The sequence below is a fragment of the Homo sapiens genome, chromosome 8 (genome assembly GCF_000001405.40).
Source record: "Homo sapiens chromosome 8, GRCh38.p14 Primary Assembly".
Classification (NCBI taxonomy): Eukaryota; Metazoa; Chordata; class Mammalia; order Primates; family Hominidae; genus Homo; species Homo sapiens.
The window spans coordinates 48,253,007-48,277,302 of NC_000008.11; the positions used below are offsets into that span (position 1 = coordinate 48,253,007).

General features: G+C 47.4%; 5 annotated features.

Annotated features, from left to right (window-relative positions):
• Positions 799–1,644: an enhancer, noted in NCBI's record as "NANOG-H3K27ac hESC enhancer chr8:49166365-49167210 (GRCh37/hg19 assembly coordinates)". NCBI's record gives its function as "activates a minimal SCP1, AML or CMV promoter by ChIP-STARR-seq in naive and primed H9 embryonic stem cells {active_cell/tissue: H9 hESC(naive and primed)}" and the evidence as "EXISTENCE:reporter gene assay evidence [ECO:0000049][PMID:30033119]".
• Positions 7,677–8,238: an enhancer, noted in NCBI's record as "NANOG-H3K27ac-H3K4me1 hESC enhancer chr8:49173243-49173804 (GRCh37/hg19 assembly coordinates)". NCBI's record gives its function as "activates a minimal SCP1, AML or CMV promoter by ChIP-STARR-seq in primed H9 embryonic stem cells {active_cell/tissue: H9 hESC(primed)}" and the evidence as "EXISTENCE:reporter gene assay evidence [ECO:0000049][PMID:30033119]".
• Positions 8,254–9,254: an enhancer, noted in NCBI's record as "OCT4-NANOG hESC enhancer chr8:49173820-49174820 (GRCh37/hg19 assembly coordinates)". NCBI's record gives its function as "activates a minimal SCP1, AML or CMV promoter by ChIP-STARR-seq in naive H9 embryonic stem cells {active_cell/tissue: H9 hESC(naive)}" and the evidence as "EXISTENCE:reporter gene assay evidence [ECO:0000049][PMID:30033119]".
• Positions 17,507–18,378: an enhancer, noted in NCBI's record as "H3K27ac-H3K4me1 hESC enhancer chr8:49183073-49183944 (GRCh37/hg19 assembly coordinates)". NCBI's record gives its function as "activates a minimal SCP1, AML or CMV promoter by ChIP-STARR-seq in naive H9 embryonic stem cells {active_cell/tissue: H9 hESC(naive)}" and the evidence as "EXISTENCE:reporter gene assay evidence [ECO:0000049][PMID:30033119]".
• Positions 20,745–21,246: an enhancer, noted in NCBI's record as "H3K4me1 hESC enhancer chr8:49186311-49186812 (GRCh37/hg19 assembly coordinates)". NCBI's record gives its function as "activates a minimal SCP1, AML or CMV promoter by ChIP-STARR-seq in naive H9 embryonic stem cells {active_cell/tissue: H9 hESC(naive)}" and the evidence as "EXISTENCE:reporter gene assay evidence [ECO:0000049][PMID:30033119]".

Sequence of the window (24,296 nt, forward strand, 5' to 3'; positions counted from 1 at the left end):
GCATTTTTGTTTGATTTATTTGTTTTTCACCTTTCTCTGGTGCCTCCTTGATTAGCTTAATAATTGGCCTTCTGAATTCTTTTTCTGGCAATTCAGAGATTTCATTTTGGTTTGGACCCATTGCTGGTGAGCTAGGGCAATCTTTTTGTGGTGTTGTAGAACCTTGTTTTGTCATATTACCAGAATTCCTTTTTTGCTTCCTTCTCATTTGGGTAGACTATGTCAGAGGGAAGCTCTGGAACTCAAGGGCTACTGTTCAGATTCTTTTGTCCCAAAGGGTACTCCCTTGATGTGGTGTTCTCCCCCTTACCCTAAGGGTAGGGCTTCCTGAGAGCCAAACTACAGTGATTGTTTTTGCTCTTCTGGGTCTAGCCATGCAGTAAAGCTACTGGGCTCCAGGCTGGTACTGGGGGGTGCCTGCAAAGAGTCCTGTGATGTGATCCATCTTCAGGTCTCTCAGCCACGGGTACCAGCACTTGCTCCAGTGGAGGTAGCAGGCGAGTGAGGTGGACTCTGTGTGAGTCCTTGCTTGTAGTTTTGTTTAGTGTGCTGGTTTTCTCAAATGCTGGTTATGCTAGCAATGAAGTTGTCATATGGACAGACTCAGGACCTCTGGTTAGCCAGGATGTTACAGGCAGTAGAATTAGCTGTTGTTTTTTCCTTCCTTGAAGCAGGATTGGTTGTTATGAGTTACTGCAATGGCTTGAGTGGGTTGGTCCAGCAAGGAGGTGGCACTTTCAAGAGAGCATCAGCTATGGTAGTATAGGGGATACAAGCTTGCCCTAAGGTCATCTGAATAAGTATTCAGGTTTCTCAGGTGATGGGCAGGGCCATAGAGCTCTCATGAGTTTATGCCTTTTGTCTTTGGCTACCAGGGGAGGTAGAGAAAGACGACCAGGTGGGTGCAGCCTTAGGTGTGTCTGGGCTCAGAGTCTTCTTGGGGAGGGCTTACTGCAGTCATTGTGGGGGATGGGGGAGTGGTTCTCAGGCCAATGGAGTTATGTTCCAAGGGGGATTATGGTTACCCCTGTTGCTTCTTACAGGTCGCCAGGGAAGTGGGGGAAAGCTGGCAGTGACAGGCCTCACCCAGTTCCCAGGCAGCCAGCAAGGCCAATCTCACTCCAGCCCGCATTGCTTCCACAACAATTGCCAACAGAGCCAAATTCACATCCAGGCTTCCATGCAGGGCTGAGATCTTGCCCGAGGCAAGCCTCAGCCTCCCTGCTGAGAAAGCAAATAGGGCTTTCAGGCCTTACCCCTCCCTGCCTGCCAAGGCTTTTTTGCTCGTATCTGCATTTCCTGTTTACTCCCTCAGATTCTGCCCAGGAAAATTTGCCCTTGATCAAAATTACTACAAAGTTCAGCTGGAGGTCTCCTTCTCCCTGTGGCCCTTCCCCAAATCCACTGACTGCTGTCCCTAAGGACCCCTCTGAGATAAAATCAGAAATGGCTTCCCTGGGGACAAGGAGTGCCTATAGGGCTCTTCTCGCTGTTTCTTCTACTTTTTTATTTTTCTCTGCTTGACAGTGGGGTTATCAGTCATCATGGGAGTTAGCAAGTGCTCCTGGGGAAGTGGGAACAAACTGGGGGGAGGGGGGCGCTTCTTAATGGGTATTTCTAATGTGCAATGATCTATGGATTTTTTTTCTTCACTTAAACAGCTCCTATGCCCTGAAATTAGGAGAGTTAAATGCATAGACTGTGCCATATTAAAATGTTAGTTTCATTATGTTTTCACGCCAGGTCTTCTTTTTAAAAAAATTTTTAAAAAGTGTTTATAGAATTGCAATAGAAGGCATAGGAAATACCTGTATAGAATGTATATTTTTATTTCACATGTAGTTTATTTTGAACACTGTAATTCATAAAGCAAAATCAGTAGGTAGTGCTAAGTTTCTCAAGGATTTGATCATGAATACTTTGGCTGCCTTAGGTGTGGGAATTAGAAAACTGAATGGAGCCTTGTTCTGCTTCTTGCTCTCTAACACATGTCTTGTGTTAAACACTAAAAAATCCCTAAATAAAACAGGCTAAACAAGTCCTGGTTAGCCATGTTCGTGCCAGGCTGTGCTCCACTGAGGTCCATTTTGGACAAGCCCAGCTGTACCATTATGGTTGTCTGTTTTATGAAGGACAATATCAGACTAGAGATAATGTCCTGAGAATTTGGATCAAGATGGTGAGGGATACTGAAATCATGGCATTTGGGGGATGGCTGAAGGAACTGGGAATGTTACATGAGGAGGGAAGAAGATTTATTATGCTCTATCTCATCTCTGGATGTTTGGAAACTCTGCTTCCTCTGTGCAATTGATCCCCTCCTCTTTGACTAACTCTTACCATGCATCAGCCTAGCTATCTTCTCCTCCAGGAATGCTTCTGTGACACTGTAAGAGAGGATTAGGTGACACTTCTATACACCTCCTTAACTCGATGTCATCCTATTGATAGGATTTATCTCACAGGCCCATTCACTTGTTTATCTTACACTGGCCCATGAAAAGGCACTCATCTAGCTCTCTGCTGTAAACCCATCCTTTAACACTGAGCCTGCTTAAAGTGGATGTATTGGAATAAATGAATGAATGAGTGAATGATATGACTGTTGTCTTTGCACATACAAAAACCTGAGATGTGGGAATGATTACAGATTTATTCTGTGTTTGTCCAGCAAGAAGTTGTAAGATTAACAGATGGAAGTTACATGAGTTGATTTAATTTTACTTCAACACAAAGAACTTTCTAAAAATTAGAACTTTTGAGAAATACAAGGGTAGGCAGACAGGTCCCCGTTCCAGTAGAGGCCAGTTGGTCAACTGTCAAGAATAATGTCAAAGAGCTTAGTCTAAGGTGACCTAGGGGTCTTGCAAATTGCAGAATCTATGTACCAAGGGATGCTTTTCTCCATGGGTGTTCCTGTGGGACTCGAGACAGTGAGAAATCACCAGGTGTTAATTAGAGGGAAAAAGTGCTCCAGGTAGAAGGTTAAGCAGGTTTCCTCACTGAAGGCTATGTCAGAGCCTTCGTATGTTGTTGGGAGTAAGCCCCCCAAAATCTGGCCATAAGCTGGCCCCAAAACTGGCCATAAACAAAATCTCTGCAGCACTGTAACATGTTCATAATGGCCCTAATGCGCACGCTGGAAGGTTGTGGGTTTAGGGGAATAAGGGCAACGAACACCTGGCCTGCCCAGGGCGAAAAACCGCTTAAAGGCATTCTTAAGCCACAAACAATAGCATGAGTGATCTGTGCCTTAAGGACATGCTCCTGCTGTAGTTAACTAGCCCAACTTATTCCTTTAATTCAGCCCATCCTTCATTTCCCATAAGGGATACTTTTAGTTAATTTAATATTTATAGAAACAATGCTAATGACTGGTTTGCTGTTAATAAATATGTGGGTAAATCTCTGTTCGGAGCTCTCAGCTCTGAAGGCTGTGAGACTCCTGATTTCCCACTTCACACCTCTATATTTCTGTGTGTGTGTCTTTAATTCCTCTAGCGCCACTGGGTTAGGGTCTCCCCGACCAAGCTGGTCTTGGCAGTATGTAAATTGCTGTGAACTTCAAGAAGGGCATAGACAGCAAGGCACGGTGGCTCATGCCTGTAATTGCATAACTTTGGGAAGCTGAGGCGGGTGGATCACCTGAGGTCAGGAGTTCAAGACCAGCCTGACCAACATGGAGAAACCCTGTCTCTACTAAAAATACAAAATTAACTGGGCATGGTGGCACATGTCTGTAATCCCAGCTACTCGGGAGGCTGAGGCAGGAGAATCACTTGAACGGAGATGGAGGTTGTGGTGAGCTGATCTGAGATCACACCATTGCACTCTAGCCTGGGCAACAGGAGCAAAACTCCATCTAAAAAAAAAAAAAAAAAAGGAAGGGCATATACTATTTATCACTCCAAACTCATTTGATTAAGAAACTTTATTTTTACAAAATATTGTGGTACAAGTGTTCTGCAGAACTTACTTTGGGAAACCAATCTACATCCATAATTCCCAAACCAGGTTCTATAGAGAGAGTTACTGCAATAGAACAACCTGGGGAGATTTAAAAATGCAAATCCTCCTCCCTGACACCTGTCTTAACTCACTCCTAAGCACAGCAATATTCTAGGGAGTGAGGAAGCCATTTGTGTTAGTCCATTTTGTGTTGCTATAAAGGAATATCTGAGGTTGAATAATTTACAAAGAAAATAAGTTTATTTGGCTTACAATTCTGCAGCCTGTACAAGAAACATGGTGCTGGCATCTGCTCCTAGCAAGGGAACTCAGGAAGCTTTCTTTTTTTTTTTTTGAGATAGAGTCTTGCTCTGTCACCCAGGCTGGAGTGCAGTGGTGCGATCTTGGCTCACTGCAACCTCTGCCTCCCAGGTTCAAGCACTTCTCCTACCTCAGCCTCCAAGTAGCTGGGATTACAAGCACCTGCCACCACGCCCGGCTAATTTTTCTATAGTAGAGACAGGTTTCACCTTGTTAGCTGGGATGGTCTCAATCTCCTGACCTCGTGATCTACCCACCTCGGCCTCCCAAAGTGCTGGGATTACAGATGTGAGCCACTGTGCTCAGCCATGGAAGCTTTCAATCATGGTGCAAGGGGGACGGGAACAGGTGTGTCAAATGGGAGAGAGGGGAGGAAGTGCCAGGCTCTTTTAAGCAAGCAGCTCTCCTGTGAACTCATAGAGTGAGACCTTACTCATTACCGTGGGATGGGATGGTACCAAACCATTCATGAGGGATCTACCCCCAAGACCCAAACACCTCCCATTAGGCCCACCTCCAATATTGGGGATCAAATGTCAGCATGAGATTTGGAGGGGATAAACTTACAATCTGTTTCAACCATCATGAGTGCAACATCTTTGAAGGAGCATTGTCAGACTATATCAGTGTGATGTACATCACTAAAGTTCACTAAGTACCTCAGGGGAGAGGTGCAGAGACCTGGGTCATTTTCATCAATGGTGGATTGTGAGGGAGAGCACTGAAGATTGGGGCAGCCTGGAGCAGGTGCAGGGTTGGGCGTGGAGATGCGTGGCAAGGGCAGCTGCCTGAAGAAGAAATCGTGGGGAGAGAACATGCTGGGGGAAAGTGAGGCAGGTGGGGACTCAAGCCAAATCTTGCCCACTTCCAAGATCTGCAGAGCTGTGAGCTACCACTCCTTACACCAAGAAGAGGCCCTTTCCCTACATGTGTGGGATTAAGTTTTATGCCAAATGTAAAGTATTTTATGGTCATGGTTTTCCTGAATTATCTGTACCTATTTTTCTCCCAAATTGAAAATGGCCTGCAGTGCAGTCTTTCATACTGACCACTGCCTCCTCATACTCCTGGAGGCAGAATCATCACGTGAGCTGAAGATGGTTACTAAGTGTCTTTAAGCAAACAAAAGGTCCCAATAAAACCAGTCATTTTGTAGCAGCTCTGATGTGAGCATGCAATTTTAAAGGCATCCTCCCAAGAGTGCCATTAAATGGAAGTATTTTCCTACAAGAAAAGTCCTATAAGAAGTCCAAGAAAATCTGTGGATAAATTATTAGAAGTAATAATAGCTAAGCAAGGTTAATGAAGGTCAGATCAATGTACAGTACTCCATTATACTCCCATACCTCAGTTATAAACACTTAAGAATGAATTTTTAAAAGGCACTTTGCAAAAAATTACAAAAATATTTAAGCATCTGGCAATAAATTCCAACAGAGGTTATTTTTGTGATCTTAAAAGTCTGCTTCTAAAATTTACATGGAGTAGTAAAGGTTGGTTTCCCACATGAGCTCAGTCTTCACGCTCCCTGCCTCTGTGCCCTTGAGAATGTGAACTGGCCGCTCCCTGCACCAAGGAAGCCCCTTCCCTATCCTTGGGGTCTGGGCTGGCCTCATGACATGCCTTGGCCAGTAGAGAGTGGCTCAAGAGGCTTTGTGTGTTTTGTTCAGTCTCTTGCTACTTGCCTTTGCTGTGGCTAAGCCAGCTGGGTGATGAAAGACAGGTGGCCTAATTCTCCCCTTTGCCCCAGGGCCAGCTAGCTGCAGATGTGTGAGCCAGCTCAGGTGAGATCAGAACCATCCAGCTGAGCTCAGCCCAAACAGCTGACCTCAGGCTTGGAGAAGAAAATAAATAACCTAAGACTTTAACTGTTTAAGTTTTGAAATGGTTTGTTAGGAAGTAATAGCTTACTAATACAATAGCCAAGATAATTTTTTAAAAAATAGAGCAAAATGGAGGGACTCATCTATCAGATATTAAGATTTGTAATGGGCTTTAATAATTAGGACACTATAGATAGATATCAAAAACCAGACTGATGGCTAAGACTAGCGAGTCTAGAAAGAGATGTATAAAAATAAGACAACTTGATATATGAAATAGGGGCATTATAAATTGAGTGGTACTGGAACAATTGGTTATAAAAACGAAAAATTTAAATTCCTACTCCACACCAGTCTCAAAAACTCATTTAAAAATTTTAGAAGAAGATATGGGAAAATAGCTTTATGACTTCTGGGTAGGGTAATATTTTTAAGATACAAAAAGACTGTAAAAGATATATATTTTGTTTATTTTTAAATAAATCGTGATATATTCAGAACATTGAATGAAATAGAGTAGAGAAAATGAATTAAATAAGAGTACACAATGACATGGAAAATTTTTCAAAAACATGTTGGACACATAAATAGAAAGGTGCAGGGTATTTACAGCACAGTGTCATTTATATAAGTTTCAACCATATTAAACAGTGATATAAATGTCTTTGGGTCATATATATATTCATATTCTATATACCAACTCTTTCTACCTTTCTATCATCTGTCATATCTATCATCTATCTATCTATCTATCTATCTATCTATCTATCTATCATCTATCTAATCTGTCTGTCATCTCTGCATCCACCCAACAGTCTGTCTGTCTACACATCATCTACGAAGTGAAAGAACGTGCTTGGGAACGGTCAACACCTGAAGAAGGAGAGGGGACCTCAGGAGAGGATCTTGGAGGAGGCACGCATGAACTTCTGCCGTATGTGTAAAAATTTTCTTTCTTAAACTGGGTGGAGGGGCCTTTTTATGCGTTGGAAACGCTTTTTTAGTGAAACTAAACTGAAGTACTTACGGAGTAGCTGAGCTGGGCGGACTGCGCAGGAGCCCAGGCACCAATTGGCGTGAACTCTCCAGTTCTGGACCCACATCCAGAGGTGTGTGAAGCCACCCCCCAGAGCCCAGCCAACGGTAAATAGGACTGTGACCTGGGAATCAGACCGTTCCCGAGCGCCCCCTGTGTGTGGTGTTCCTTGGGTGGTGGGGACCGCTGTGTTCAGCCCGTCCTTGGAAGAGGCGAGGGGTGCTGCCGTGGGAGGTAGAGAGAAGGGCAGGGGTGTGGTGCTCTTTTTTTCCATTCCTACTTCAGCTAAACCATTGCCACTTTTATCCGTTTTGTGCCGCGAGCTCTTACCTACTCTTGTTGGTTGGCGGCTTTCGGGCAGGGAAACGGGCAAACGTGGACGCGCGCAGCTAAGGCAGGCGCGGTGGGCAGGGGGCTGGGCCGGGCAGGGACTGTGCCGCCCCCGCTTCTGGGTGGGAGCGGCCTGTCTCCTCTCCGAGGGTCTGAGAGCACCCGCACCCACCTTCCTTCCCCAGGGCATTCCGGCCTAGGGGAAGGGCGTCTGGAATGGGAGCGGGCGCTCCACCGCCTGCAGGCATACGGTAGGCCTGGCCCAGTACTGGGCGTCCGAGCTGCACCCAAGGGGCAGCACCCACACCTACCAAGCCCACAACACCTGCGGCAGCGCCTTGCGCTGGGAGCTTCAGAAAAAGCGCAACAGGAAAGGTCCCCAACCCCCTAGCAACGTCGCCGAGAACCTACTGCACAAGGCCACTCCATAGCCCATGTTTCCTGTACTGCGGGGTCTGGCAGCACTGCCTAGGTTTGAGATCATTGGCTGGGTTTCCCTGGGCGGTTTTTCATTTGTAGAGGGAAATTAACAGTGGTGCCCATCTCACAGTATTGCTGTGGCAATTCAGTGAAATCACATGTGCAGCGCTGGGAGCTGAGCCTGGCACAGGTGGGCACACTGACATTTTAGTTATTGTAATCATAAAATAATTTGTCTGATTTGCTCATATATATATCTAAACATGCCTGGAGACCTTGGCAAAAGTGCCACGATTCTTATTATTTTCATAGAAGACCTTGCTTCATTCATTCATTCAACAAATATCTGTTGAGCACCATGCCAGAGATTGCTCAGGCTCTGGGGACAGCAGTGAGGGAAACCCAGGAAGCTCTGTCCCCATGGAGTTCCATTCCAGTCAGGGGGTGTGGGACAGGCTCACAGCAAGCCAGCAGATGGGGGAAAAGAAAGCCAAGGAAGCTTCCCTGGAGAGGGCTCATTTGAGGGGCAGAACAGAAATGTGCACCCCAGAAGCCCCAGTGTGGGATGGCATTGGAGAACAGTGGGGTATCCAGTCCCAGCTCCCCTACTCATATGGGCCTGAGGCTTTTAGAATTTGAAAAATGTGACCTGTAACAACCTCGCTTTTGTCATTCAGGGTCTGTTTAAGCACTTGGCCTTCACAGAGAGCCAGGCACCCTGAATGCAGAGCAGAGGCCAGTTCTTCTACCCATGGGAATGGACAGTGCCAGGGGAGGAACGGCTGTCACAGAGCCTTGCAGTCAGGTGGACAAATAGCAGCTGTGGACACAAACTTTCATGCATGTCCGTGTGAAGAGATCACCAAACAGGCTTTGTGTGAGCAATAAAAGCTTTTAATTGCCTGGGCACAGGCAGGCTGAGTCCGAAAAGAGAGTCAGTGAAGGGAGATAAGGGTGGGGCCGTTTTATAGGATTTGGGTAGATAAAGGAAAATTACAGTCAAAGGGGAGTTGTTCTCTGGTGGGCAGAGTGGGGGTCACAAGGTACTCAGTGGGGGAGCTTTTGAGCCAGGATGAGCCAGGAGAAGGAATTTCACAAGACAATGTCATCAGTTAAGGCAGGAACACGCCATTTTCACTTCTTTTGTGGTGGAATGTCATCAGTTAAGGCAGGAACCAGCCATCTGGATGTGTACATGCAGGTCACAGGGGATATGATGGCTTAGCTTGGGCTCAGAGGCTGACACAAACATCTTCTGGTAAAACACTCTCAAAAGTTGCTGCAGTAAGAGTTAAATGTTAACGCTGAGTTGCAGTTTTTTTTTTGAAAGTTTTGTAGGTTTCTGATTTTCATCTCATTCTGGGCTTTCAATTAGCAGCTGTGCAGTTGCCCGCAGGTTATGTGCACATGGGCTTTGCCTCCTACGGTGTCTTATGTGATATTTTTTTCTGACTCCATGATAAGAATTTTTAGCAAAATGGAAAGTAAACAATTGGACCTGAGTACTCTATTTTTAGTTGACACATCTGAAGCAGAAGTAGTCAATCTTGCCATGGACACGGGGCTTGCTTTGAACTTGTGTTGAAGAAGCAACAGCATTTATCACGCGGTGTCAGCCCAACATTGTAGCACGGGGGAGAGAGCATGGAGCTGGAAATGAGGATTGGCTGTGCGATTTGTGCACAACTTTCCAGGGGCTAAGTGGCTTTCCTTTCCATAAGTGAGGCCTTTTGACTCAGTCTCCAAGCCTTCCTCACTTTCCATCTTTGGTCACTGCTTCTTCCTTGCCTCAGAAGCATTGCTTTAGACTTCAGAGGCGTGTGTTAAGAATCTAGTTTGAAACCCACTGGTGGAGGTGACAAAGATGATTCAGCATGACTGCTGTCCTCCAGGAGTTTTACCTAATGAATTTCAAATGATTAAATGTGATTTGTTTAAAATGAATAAGAAATTTAAATGTTTTTAAAGATATACATAAGTGAAATTACAGATTCCCATAAAATAATATGAAAAAACCCAATAACTTCCCTATTCCTTGAAGGTGAAGGGGTTGAGAGCAGTAGAACATGGGAGATTTATTGATTTTTTATTTTTATAGATGGAAGGGGTACAAGCGTAGTTTTGTTGTGTGGCCATATTTCGGAGTGGTGAGGTCTGCGCTGTTTTAGTGTACCCATCACTCAAATAGGTAATCTTTCAACCTTCCTGGGAGATTTTTGTGTTTGAGAATCATTTTGTGTTTGGCTTTTCCCCTATGAAAGCTAATGTGCAACCCAGGCCAATCCGCAGGAAGGTGGCTGGGAAGAGGGGAGTGCAGGAGGGCTGACTACCAGCTCTTGTGACACCCACATAGGGAGGCCGAGCCACACACCTGGTGGAATTTATCTTGTATCTTGTTAGCCTAAGTTTGTGAGAGAACATACTGCATACCCACATACACAGAGGTTGGTAAGCAATTTTGTTAGTCAATGTTTTAAAAAATTTATGAAGAAAACTGATTGGTTTTCAGCTTGAAGTAATTTACTGACACTTTATAAACTCATCACATGCCAACTTGGAGAGTCTGCACTTTTTCATGTTGCTGAATGGCCTTTGGCTCCCTGCTGTGTGTCTCTGGGGTTAAACCTGGGGTGTCCTGTGCCCCAGGAGCTTCGTATGTGGGTGCCCGCCACCCAGTGCACGGATTCCCACCGTGCTGCTGGGGCTGAGTCCTGGAGCCCATGCTGATCCCTGTGCGAGGGATTGTCAAGCACTTTCGTCAGCAGGAGGCCTCTCCCTGGTGGGGGCGGGTGGGGGAGCTGCAGCGACGCAGTGTGCAAGGGTGGTGAACATACCCTTGAGTACGGAGCACCCTTGAGTACAGAGCATGTTTGGGATGTATGTTACATGACTTCTATGTGTAATTGTTGACACTGATGAAAATGCCTTAAATTGTTGGAGAGCCCACCCACAGGGAAAACATTTCTCACCTTTGGTATTAGTTTGGGCTTGCATGTTGCCTCTGGTAGAGGCCCCAGAAGGTTCAACGAGTTTGTCTAAAAATGAAGCTGTCTTTTTGAAAATTACCTGGCATAAAAGCCTCATGACCTACGTGATGCACACTGCGCACCGATCTTCAACCAAACCCTGTGTTTTGCTGCCAAAGAACATGGCTTCAGTCTCCCACTCCCAGGTCAGGTGGACAGAGGCCCAGAGAAGGCTGTGGAGGTTGGTGGAGGTTGCAGCTATGGCCATGAGCCAGCGACGGTGATACACCGACATCCAGGGGTAGGCTCTGTCTACCTTGGCTTTCCTAGTCCCCCTGTGGACACAAACAGGGCTGTCCTACCCCAAGCACTGGGAGCCGCCCACATGGGGGTCAGACATGTGGACCGGAACCCTGGCTCTCACACGGAGGAGCCGTAGAACTTTGGGCAAGTGTCTCTACTGCCATGAGCTTCTGCTTCATCATCTGTAAAACAGAGATAGTGACCTGCCATTAAAGGATGCTATGATGATTAAATGAGAACATAGGAGGGAATACTTATCAATTGACTGCTGATGTTTTATTGATTAACAAGCTGCATAAATAAAACTGGTATTTTGCCTGATGTGGAAGTCAGCACAGAGAATCTGACTTAGGGATCAGCTGCTAGCAAGGAAAGTGACAATGAAGTAGCTTGTTCCAGAGCCTAAAACACTGCTGAGCCAGCAGCTTGTGATTTCTTTAAATGTTACGTTGCTCACATCTGCAAAAGCACCATAATTAATATGGTTTGCTTCAACTATCTATGGTTTAGAAAACATCAGCGACTGTTTGGAATTAGAGAAAAACAGTGATTCACCAATTTGAGTCTTCAAGTGTTGCTGGCAAGATGAGCTCTGAACATCAGAGTCATGCAGCCGAGTCATCTAAAGGCCACCTGGTGGCTCGGGCTGCTGAAACCTGGGTCTCCATGTGCAGCAGCTTGTCTCAGGACGGCACCTTCAGTGCTTTCCCCCTGGTGCTCTTTCTCTTCCCAAAGGGCCCCTTCTCCACCCCTTGGAATCTGGGCTGACCTGTGTGACTCCTTTGACTCCTAGCATGGACAGAAGGGGAACTGGGCAAGCTCTGAACCCAGCCTTTAAGGCGGACAGCATCATCTTCTCTCAGAACACTGCCATGGGGCCAGGCACGGTGGCTTACGCCTGTAATCCCAGTACTTTGAGAGGCTGAGGCAAGTGGATCACTTGAGGTTGAGAGTTTGAGATCAGTCTGGCCAACATGGCAAAACCCCGTCTCTACTAAAAATAGAAAAAAATTAGCTGGGCCTGATGGCGCGCACCTGTAATCCCAGGTACTCAGGAGACCGAGGCAGGATAATCGCTTGGACCTGGGAGGAAGAGGCTGCAGTGAGCCGAGATCGCATCACTGCACTTCAGCCTGGGCAAGAGAGGGAGACTCCATCTTAAAAAAAAAAAAAAAAAAAAGGAACACTGCCATGGAAGCCAAGATACCCACAGTCCGAGGAAGCCTCAGCTGGCCCTGGAGAGGCCACAGGGAGGCACTTGGCTGCAGGTCCCCAGCTGGTGCATGTGTCCTGACCCAGCCCCCAGACAGGCTGGGAGGGAGCCATCAGGAGCATGCCAGCCCTCACAGACAACAGGAGGAGGAGAGCTGGAGCCACTGCAGGGTGCCGGGCAGGCTGTGCCACCAGCTCCGGCGGATGGCATGGAATACACCAGCCACCCCTGTGTCCTGCCTGGCTTCCCCATGGCTGGAAACTCATGGCTGCTTCCAGGCTTACTGGTCTTGTTTTTGTCCCTGGCCTCCATTGCACAGCTCTGGCCACTTGTGCTTCAGAAGGCAGGATGGTGGGAGCCAGACCGAGGCACCCAGTCCTCTTATTTAGGAAGCTCGTGGTCACTCGCCTGTTGTCTGGACTCCCCCTGGTGAGAAGCAGTGAGACATGGTCATGGGGGTGCGGCTGCAGCAGGTGATTCTGTTAGCACTGCAGGATCGCTGTCCACTCTGTAGATCCCCAGCCCCTTCTGCATATTCTTGACGTACACAGAGTGGGCCTGATGAGACTCGGCATTCATCCTCTGGCCTTTCTGATCTCCTTCCTGGCCACTCCAGCCTGGTTTCGGGGGGACACTACGCTGGGCTGATACCAGCATATTATGGTCATGGGAGGTGACAGATCACAAGCCCAGGGCCTGGAGCAGTCAAGGGAGCCATGAGCCACACATTTGAACTCAGCGCCTTCTGAGCAGCTTTTACTCTACAATCATGAGTTTTCTTTTGTTGTTTGCCTCTTTAGTCTGCTTTTGTGAGGGGAAATATGGATAACACACACTTGTGTGCACATACATGTACAACTGTGTGTCCACAAGTGTGCAGAGCTTTCCTAGGTACATGTTCCCACAAACACATGTGGCCACGAGGGCACCTTATGACTAAACTTCAGCTTGGAACTAAGGGACTGGACTTGGTTGGCAGGTGACATGGTCCCTGGGTTCAGAGCCGGCTCGGCACAGACTACTTCAGACACCCACTCATGGATATCCAGGCCGTGCACTTCAAAGTCTAATGTTGATCTCACCAAAGCATGTGATCTTTCTGGCAAGGTGATGGGTGCGCAGTAAGGACTGGGTGAGTTAAGTAACTTGGTTTTCACATGGGACTCACCCTGGGTGTTTAGGGGCAGCCTTTCCAAGCAAGCTGAGCTGGTACCTGGGCTTATTGGAGACCCCTAGGAATGAATGAAGACTATTCCCAAGCAGAATGACCACGTTGCAGAGATTGCTGTTCTCCTACCATGATTATAGAATCCCTGGAGACCAACCGTGAATACAGATTGTGAAATTTTAACTTGAGCACTTGACACTTATGATTGATCCTCAAGAACTGAAGTAGGTTTCAGGGTCTGACTAAGGAGGTGTCAAAACAGGGCAAGTTATCTCAATCAGTTGGAATTGTATTTGACTGAAGTGATGAATAGAAATTCAATCCATCCTGTTGGAATAGCATCTCTTATTTTTTTTTCCTTTCTCAGAACAGCCAGAGGGAGGCAGCCTGGGGCTGGTGCAGATGCCTCAGGGTCCTTTGCTTCTTCCGGCTTCCTGCTCTACCCTCCTAAGTTGATAGCTTTTGTCCCTCTGATCTCAAAGATGCCTGCTCCATAGCTAGACATCATTTCCGCATTCCAGGCAGGAAGAAAGAGCAAGAGCAAAGGGCCAAAGGTGTCCACATGCTGAGGCTTCCTTTTTATTAAGAAAACAATGACTTGGAGGCACTACCAAATAGATTCTACTTCATCTCATTGGCCAGGTCATGGCTGTCTCAGCTGCACAAATTGTTTCTGTTAGTAAGGAAGAAAGGGAGAAGATATTGTGATGGATTCCAGTGGGATGCAGAATTAACATTTAACATTCTCATGTTAAATGAGGAAGTTTATTTAGGAAGTGCTATCCAAGTGCTTATTGAATAAGCCAGGGAGGCTATTCTGTTAAGGGCTGGAGACAGGAACCATCGCTGGACCTTGGTGGGCCACACGGGAAGCCTCTGCCTAGGGAGGAAGGAAGGAAGAGCACCATGCACCCTCAGTGCATGGGTGTGAAGGTGCGCACAGACAGACGGGAGGGTGGCCCGGGGTTACAGAGAGATGGAGGTGGGCATGGCTATATGAGACTGGTGAATTATTTTTGAGGCTCTGAAAAATACAAAACATAGCTATATAATGGGTTTTTCTTTTAACACAAACATTTAGATGATCGTTAATATCATTTTAGATGATGATCTTGTCTGATCTCATAATTTGCCAGGCAAGGCTGCATGAACACGTCTATTAGATGGATGTGAAGACCGAGGTCTGCGAGTTCCAGTGTTTTTGCCATTCCCAGGTCTCATAACAGCCAGGTTTCAAATCCAGGTCTTTGGGCTCTTGAGTTCATGCCCCACATTCATGACAGTTGACGCCCATTTTTACTGAACTGCTCCTTGCCCTTTATCTCTGTTTAATCCTTTAGGATCAAGAATCCAAACATTTCTTGATATCTAGAACATTTGTTCTAGAAAATGTTCTTGAACATTTTCTTTTATTTGTTGAGAAAGAAAGTGGCAAAAAGAATAGCATTTCTTTGCTCCTTGCCATTTGCCCGGAGGAGCAGTGCCTGGCAGGAGGCGGGCCCTCTCTGCGTGGCCTGGCCCCATGCTTTCTGGGTGTTTTTCTCACCAAGCTGGACCTGCCCCGGGCACCGCCTTTGAGCCCTTCTGGCCTCTCCTCATTCCCCTACTGCCTTTGTCGGTACCTGCTTCATTCCTTTTGAAAAAACATTGCTGGTTTAAAAAATGGTAGCTGCTCATTATAAATTTTATACATTGTTATATGCATTATATACATTATTATGCCTATCTACCTAGAAAGAAGAACAAATAAAGAAATGAAAGTTAGACAAGATCCCAGCATTTAGAAGTAGTGATTCTGTTAATTTGTTGGTTTTACACCACTCTAGAATCTTCCTTTGTATATGTAAATATGCACATATAGCTAGATAAGTATTTATCATTTTACATAAGTAGGATGATGGTTTATATGTGGTCCTGTTACCTAAGTCTTCATGCAACAATATGTCATAGGCTCGTATTCATGCCAACAAAACTAACTGCATCCTTATTTTGAATGGCTGGTAGAAGTCCACTGTACATGTGAACCATAATTTAGGTAACCAGCCTCTTGTTAATTGACACATACAATAGTTTCTATTTTTTTCTTTAAAAAAAAAGCAAAGCAAAGAGAGGTGGGCCAGGTCTCCGTGACCCGGGCCGGCCCAGCATCTTGGGTGGTGGGTGACACGCTGGGGTCCCCTGGGAAGGTGCTGGGACAGGGCCTGGCATGCTGTGCAAGGCTTTGGCTGTAGCCAATGCTGATAGGAGCAGGGTGGAGAGCACTGAGGGGGCAGGCAGCTGGAATCTGTTTCCGTGAGAACAAGTGATGCACTGGGCAGGTTGTTCTCCTGCCTGTGACCAGAAACCATGGGTGCATCATGAGCTGCTCTCGGGCAGGCAATTCTTCCCTGCTGAGGACGTGGTCCTTGTGCGAAGAAAGCACACCGCTTCCCTCGTGCTTGCAGAGTCCCTGCAGCGTCCCGGTGAGGCACTGCCCTATCCTACTCCTTCAGGATTCATTCCAATCTTTGGCCCCACTGGCAAGTGAGCCCTGTGAGTGGCTTGGCATGAGTTTTTCTTCGGCTGGGTCCCTGGATCACTTGAGAGTAGGTCACCCCAGATCTTGGGATGTCCTATTGCTGGTCTCTTCTTAGTGGCACAGAGCCCCCTTTCTACTTGTAAACTGTGCAGTGGCGGGTCAGGGCTCACTGATGGAGGGGACAGAGCAGCTGTTACCAGTAACAGTAACGACACGATTGCTGAGACAAACATTTTCATGGTGATGCATGAGAACACTAAATCCAAACCACATTGTTTAGCTTTCACTCCAGCAGAGGGGAATGCCACATCCCCTAAAGTAAATGGAAGAGATCAGAGTTTAGAAAATATGACAGAGTTGAAAACTTAAAGCTGTATTGCATAGTAACATCTTTTGGAGGCGAAAACAATGGGTAGGAGCCAGTGTCTCTGCATTTCCAGGGCAGCAGTGGCTGTGAGTCAGGGGTGCCTCGGGCAGGCAGCTAAAAAGGCGGGAACTCCCGCAGTCACGGTTGGGAGGGACACATGTGGACAGACCGGAGGAATGCGGTGGACCGTGAGAACCGTCTTCACGGCCGGCTTCTGTTCTGTGTTTGTTTCAGGCTGACATTGAATGCCATACATGGAACTGTGCGACCCTGATATTTACATGCTCTAGTTCCCTGTTTTTCTTGTGGATTGAAAAATCACTAGGAGTCTGTAAACACTGTGCAACAGTGTTAGATTTCACAGAGGCCAGGGCAGGCGCTGGGGGAAGGACCAGGGTCGTGCAAAAAGAGCCCAGCAGAAGTGCAGGGTGAAGGTGCCTCTCTCAGCCCTGACAAGGAGCAGAGGTAGGTTTACTGTGCAGTGAATACTTCTCAAGCTTCAGGGCCCTCCCTTGCACAAGCTTGATGGGAGACGTGGGGAGGTACAGAGTGTTCCTGGTGAGGAGAGGAAGCCAGGTTGCTGTCAGCAAGCTTTTCAATGCAAGCACTTCTGGTAAATTAAAAAGTTTTCAGAAAAACGGGTCTGAATTCCCAAAGCTCAATCGATGTGTTGCAATTTCTTTTTTCATTCTGGCAAAATGTTGATTTCGTATGTAATTTTATATTTGTAATTGTGTACTCAAGAGGGACCATAACTTGGTAAGATTTTGATCTCGTAGGACCTGGGGCCAACACTATAAATTTTGGCCCATGCTGTCCTTGAAATCTGTATACTCAGGAGAGATGGTCCCAAGGAGCCCTCTGCAAACCCCAACATGGTTTTGTCCCCTGTTCCTTGGCAGAGCAAGTCATCCAGTGGGTGGCCACACACAGTGGACACGCGCCAATGTCTGTAGCACTGGAAGATAGACTTCCAGAATTGATTCCTAAGCTATGCAAGGTGCTTCCTGTGTTAGGAAGCAAGTCTGGAGGATGTGGAGGCAGAGCGGCCACCACAGCCCTTGCTGTGGCGAGCGTCCGCGTCCAGCACTCCAGCTCTGGGCAGCCGCTGCTGGGAGCATGCAGCTGGGGCACGGGAAAGTTTCAGTGAGGCCTGGACTTCACGTGCAGGAACTACCTCTGGCACTGCTGTTGGCCAAGGGCAGTGAAAGCTTGTGAATGAAGAAGCCAGGTGTTCTCCACGTGGTATCTTATGTGGTCAGGACTGTGGAGAAACACTATGCAGCACTACAGGCACCAGCTGTTGGAATTTGCAGAAACCTGAGATGCCATCTAATTTAATCTCTCATCTTACAGATCAGAAAACAGGTCAGGAGAGGTCTGCAGCTGACCCGAGCTGCAGGCAGGATGCGCCTTGATGGTAGGCTCGGGGCACAGGTCGGAGAGGAAGCCCAGTGGAGGCCCAGGCTGGGCAGGTCCCATGAAGTTCAGTGTTGGTCCATGAGGCCTGTTCCTTCAAGGATGCAGCACGTAGGAAAGCAAGCCAGTGTGCCACATGTTACGGATTTATCTGGCATCCAGAGGATGTGATAACTTTTTCCATTATGTTGTAACAACTTTCGAGAGCGTGGAAACCTCACGTGCTGCAGGTGTCTGCTATAGGAGAGCTGTGTGCCTTGTGCACTGTCAGAGGGCATGAGGACGCCCCTAGAGGTGCCCTGTGGGCACGCCTGCCTCAGGTCTTTACCCATTTCTGCCACTGGAGTGCCCAGAGGGCCTGAGTGTTACCTCCTGGGCTGCCTTCCCTATGCCTGGTGCTGGCCACTGGCAGACGTAGGCAGGAAGCGCAAGAGCAGGATGTGGTCCTGCCAGAGTTTGGCCTGGGAAGCTCAGCAGGACCCATTTGAACAGACCCAGATTCGGCTGCACCAGATCACACTTTTCCACTCGAGCCATTAGTCAATTAAAAAACCCTGCAGCCTGGCTCTTGAGTGGTGCCAAACAGCATGAAACACAGCTCTCCCAGAAAGATGACATGTATGCTTTTGTTTTATTTCACAACCCTTTTTCCCTGTTCAGTCTTAGCAAGATATGCAGCCTGGTGGAGAAGCGGTGGCTCTGCTAGAGTGGCCAGGACAGTGGCTGTTTCCCTGCAGACCCTCCCAGGTGCTTTCTGAGGTGGTGGTTGTCTGTAGGCTGGCACCTCAGGCAGCCAAGGTCATTGACCAGCTGGCCCCATAGGGCAGTGAGGCCCTGCTGTATGGGGCCTCTGCTCCAGCAGCTCTGATGCTCCAAAACAAGCACCGTTTCATGCTGCAGCTGTGTAAGGAGATAAGAATCCACACTAGACATGGCCTGAGAGACCATCACCCTGTGCATGTTTCAAAGAGTGGTGCTGACAGCAGAGTGATGCCTTAGGATGGGGCCGGCAAGGGACTGGGGTGTCGTGCTCAGACCCTGGAGCTGCCTTTGTCACCACCATGGGGCACTTACCTGCAGGGGCCCATTCAGGCCTGGGCCTGGGGTGCCTTGTGGGCTTTAGCTTTTGGATTGCAAGAACACCAGTCTACTATGTCCCAGGCTGGCCACACAGGTTCTCAAGCCTGGCCGTGCAAGAGAATCACTGGGACACATTAAAGTCAGGGTGCTGGGCTCCACCTACAGAGGGTATGACTTAGCAGGTTTGGATGGGTCTTAACAACCAGCAGTTTTAGGGGTGTGAGGACTGGGAATAACTGCTGCAGACCAGGTCACTGCCTTACATTGGGTTCATGATTCTCAACTGGTGCTGCAGTGGAACCATTCAGGGACGTCACCAACCCCACTGAATCTGCTGCTAGACTTGGAAGAAGAAAAACAAGAGTTTGGTGCACTGCCTCTTCCTCTCTGGAAACAACGGCACCATGAGCCACGTGGAGCACCAAGTTCCTGTACAAGCGGGACCCACTGTGAGGTGTGCCACCCCATCAGGCGGTGTGAGGACCTTTTGACGCCATTAGCAGAGTGGAGTAGAAAAGAGTTTAGTGTCTCCCCAAATCACTGGGTTCTTCAAAAAGTTGTTGGGCAAATGCTCAGAACCCAAGTTAAGGTCTCAAGCAAGTCAGGCAGTTGCCTTCAGGAAGGTGACTAGAAATGTGAAGCAGCCCAGGAGCAGCTGGGTGCCCTGCAGGTGGCCTGGAGCAGGTCACACATGCATCTTGTTGACCCTGCTTGCACCTGTCTTAAGGCACCTGTTCTGCAAGAAGCAGGAACCAAGGAAACACACACTCCTGTTGTGCTGGGAAATGGTTTAATGACTAATTTAGAATAAAACAACAACAACAAAAAACCAGCTGAATCAAAAAAGAGGCTGTATAGCCAAGACAATCCTAAGCAAAAAGAACAAAGCTGGAGGCATCATGCTGCCTGACTTCAAACTATACTACAAGGCTACAGTAACCAAAACAGCATTGTACTGGTACCAAAACAGATATATAGGCCAATGGAACAGAACAGAAGCCTCAGAAATAACACCACACATCTACAACCATCTGCTCTTTGATAAACCTGACAAAAACAAGAAATGGGGAAAGGATTCTCTATTTAATAAATGGTGCTGGGAAAACTGCTAGGCATATGCAAAAAACTGAAACTGGACCCCTTCCTTATGCCTTATACAAAAATTAACTCAAGATGGATTAAAGACTTACATGTAAGACCTAAAACCATAAAAACCCTAGAAGAAAACCTAGGCAATACCATTCAGGACATAGGCATGGGCTAAGACTTCATGACTAGAACACCAAAAGCAATGGCAACAAATGCCAAAATTGACAAATGGGATCTTATTAAACTAAAGAGCTTCTGCACAGCAAAAGAAACTATCATCAGAGTGAACAGGCAACCTACAGAATGGGAGAAAATTTTTGCAATCTATCCACCTGACAAAGGGCCAATATCCAGAATCTACAAAGAACTTAAACAAATTTACAAGAAAAAACCAACAATCACATCAAAAAGTGGGCGAAGTATATGAACAGACACTTCTCAAAAGAAGATATTTATGCGGCCAACAAACATATGAAAAAAAGCTCATCATTACTGGTCATTAGAGAAATGCAAATCAAAACCACAATGAGTTGCATTTTTTGCCTCAAACATGTTTCAACCATGAGCTTAAGATGCAAAAATTGTGTTTTTTAAAAGATAAGAAATACATTTCTCCTTTAAAACAAAAATGATGCTCACCACAGGCCCTATCATGCTCCAAGAATGACTCATGTCCTAAGTGAATTTGCTTAAGTTTGGAAAAGTTTAAAAAAGTTTAAAAAGGCCAATATTTCTAACCCTCTTCCTCCACTCCTTAATCAGGCCCCCAGCATGTGGACTTTTCATTTCCCCAAACTGATGTATTTTTCTGACTGAAAAAAAAAATGCAGTTGGGTCCTTGTCATTCCTGGTGAACACACTGTGGCAGAGGTGTCTGAGCTGAGGTTGCGTTATCTGAGTACAAGTGTCTTGGAGTTGCTTGTCAGGATGGGCCCGAGTCAGGGCTGTCCTTGCTGGGCAGCCCTCAAGTGCAATTCATGACTTAAGGGTTCTAATTAGGGGTTCTGTCCTTCCAGATGTAAATACAAAGTGGGTGAGCAATTCCAGCTTCTGCAATCACAGCCCAGCACTTCCTGTCGGGCCTGGAGGAGGGCAGGGAGCCCCTGGGGTCTGCCTAAGGGAGCGTGGTGGAGGGGCTGGAGGAAGCAGCAACATCAAAGGGTGCTGGGCAGAGCTTCTTGGCGCTCCGACGTCCCCAGACAGATGCTCGGCTTTTTGCTCCGTGACACGAGGTTGTACCAATCTGGATCTTTATCAGCTGCAGGCCAGCACCTCCTTCCTGCTGTGTGCTGGTCTCTTTTCCGACATGCCAGATTTTCCCCACACTTTCAAATCCTCCCCGAGCGACTCCGCTGGCTGGAGCTCAGAGTGCAGGCCATCAATTCCCAGCTGCCAAATCCAGGCTCCAGATGCCTGGGCAAGGGGGCTCACATGCTTGGGAGTGGGGTTGCAGGCTTCCTTTTCCCTGTTTTCGAGAAATCTGGCCTGTGCTTCACCCTCGCCCTCCCTGAAGCCCTGGAAAAGACCTGGGTCACCCCTGTACAGTCTCTGAGGTCTGATTCCTGGAGGCAGGGGTCTCAGGGGCAGCCTGAAGCGGAATGATCTTGCAAGGGACAGAAAAAGAGTCCTCTCCAAATCCTGGGAAAGCTCCCTGGCTTGGCACTAGGGGTGTGCAGTAAGCCAGAGTTGGTGATATAGGTGGACAAGAGACAATGCTCCACACCCCTTGAACTCTCTGGTATGAAGGAGAAACTTTTTTTAATCTCTAATTTTTAATGTATAACAGATTTATATTTTTATGTTATGATAAATAACTAAAAATGAAATAAGAAAGAAGACATACAAAGTACAAGTTCAATAGTTTATTTTCAGATTTGACAGCCATCAGATTATTCTGATGAATTGCAGTGATGGTTTTTGAACCTTGAATCCCAATTTCTGTCCTTATTGTGCTGTAGACCAGGAGCAGAGAGTGAACAGGCACCATTCAAAGCACTGCATCTAGAGTAGTTTGGTAAGTCCTGGAGTGTGTGTGAATATATGTGCATGAGTGTGTGGGTATGAGTCTGAGAGTGCACATGTGTGTGAGTGGGTGTGTGAGGGTGTGAGTGTGGAATAGGGGAGAGGAGGGGTGTGCTTAGGCTGGGACTCGGAGGAGTACCTAGGGGGCTTAGACCATGCCTGTCCCCATACATGGGGTCTAATTAATGGGTGCCTTCAGGAGGGGGTGCACACCCAGGACAGGTGTGCAAAGAAAGGTGTGGAGACAGGGAGGAGCCTTTCCCACGGAGCAGACTGGCCAGCCAGGAGGGCAGGCCTGTGTGGTGGCGGCTGGGCCGTGGCTGGATTCAGCATGGATCTGTCCCGTATGTAGGCAACGGCCAAGCGTGTGCACATCTTACTCAACCCAGCTCTCCCGGTGTCCCTTGGAGATGTGTTATCATCAGCTCTATTTTGGAATGGGGACACTGAGTCTCAAAGCCCTAGGGGCTTGCTGAAGTGACAAGGCTGGACACCAAATCCACTTGTATTCCCAACTCCAGTTCTCACAGCATTACAGCAGCCCCCGCGAGCATCCCCTCTGCTGAGACTAGTATTATTATTGTTGAGTTCTGTTAGGAGAGAAATCGGTGTAGAGAGAACCTTTCCATGACTGCCTCTGGGAAGCATCGTCCTCCAATGAGAGGTCTGGCCAATTTGGACTGGGGTAGAGGGGCTGTTGTAATCAGAAATATATAATAAAATAAATTATTTCAAATAGTCTATTATAACTATCCAGGCATCTCCTTTGCAAGAACTGGTTGGGGAGGGTTGGGGCACAAAAGTGTTTTTAGTGTTCCAAGGAAATGTTTCATTTTCTATTTAAAAAATGTTAAACAGACATTTTCTGAGTTTTTACTCAAGACCAAGAGACAAGTTTAGTTGTAGTTAAAGGTTTACCTTCTTATCTATTGCAGGCAGCTGTCTTCATGCAGGCTTCTGAAGATGGCTGAAGCATGTGGCCTGGTGCCCTGTGCATCTGGGCAGGAGAGGCTGACCCCAGCTCTGCACCGTGGGGTTGTGCCCCTTGAGGGCCTTGCCTGCTGGGCCTGGCACCATCTGTGCCCTGCACCATCAGGGCTGCATGCTGTCTGGGCTCTGCAGGGCTGCGGGTGAGGATTTGGTGGAGGCTCCAAGTTCTCCAGGTTCCTAATCCTCTGCTTCCTCAAACATAGGTTGTAGGAGAGCCCCAGGAACCCCATCATACAACATTCAAGATTTGATGTAAAGAAACCATGAAAACTGCCCTTTAAAATAATATGTATCGATAGACCACCGCCTAAGGCAGATGGAAGAAAAGTCAACAGTGGCCTCTTCGAGCTGGTCTTTATGCCTTCCCTCGCGGGTTTCTCCCTCTATGGCTATGTTGTCCTGCTCTGTGAGGCCCAGAGACTGAGTTAGAGGCCAGAGGGGCTGTGGGCAGCAGCTCTCCCCCGGGAGAAGTGCATACAGGGAATGCACCTAAGCTGGGTTGTGTGGTGTACCTGGCACCTAAGCTGGGTTGTGGGGTATATGTGGAGCCTAAGCTGGGTTTTGGGGTGTACCTGGTGCCTAAGCTGGGTTGTGGGGTGTACCTCGTGCCTAAGGAAGGTTGTGGGGTATACCTGGAGCCTAAGCTGGGTTGTGGGGCGTGCCTGGCGCCTAAGCTGGGTTGTGGGGTGTGCATGGAGCCTAAGCTGGATTGTGAGGTGTACCTGGTGCCTAAGCTGTGTGTGTGAGTGTACTTGGCTGGTTCTGAACAGGGTCGGGGTGATGCTGTATTTGTTTTTTAGAAAGAATGCCACCTTGGCCAGGCATGTTGGCTCATGCCTGTAATCCCAGCACTTTGGGAGGCCGAGGCAGGTGGATCTCTTAAGGTCAGGAGTTTGATACCAGCCTGGCCAGTATGGTGAAACCCCATCTCTACTAACAAAAAATACAAAAATTAGCTGGATGTGGTGATGTGGGCCTGTAGTCTCAGCTACTCGGGAGGCTGAGGCAGGAGAATTGCTTAAACCCAGGAGGCGGAGGTTGCAGTGAAGAAAATGAAACCTGGAACCAGAAAGGCAGAAGACCTAGATGGAGAGAGAAGCAATACACAAACAAGATGAGGTTGGGCATGTTTGACTTGGTTTGCAAATTGCCTTTTGGACACTGAAGAAGGTTATGCATGAAACTGGGATGGAAGAGACAAAAAGAAGATAAAATGATACAGATTTTTGCCTCTTGGCCCTTGTAGTCCTGTGTGCATTTTGGGGTCAGGAATGAGTATCTCA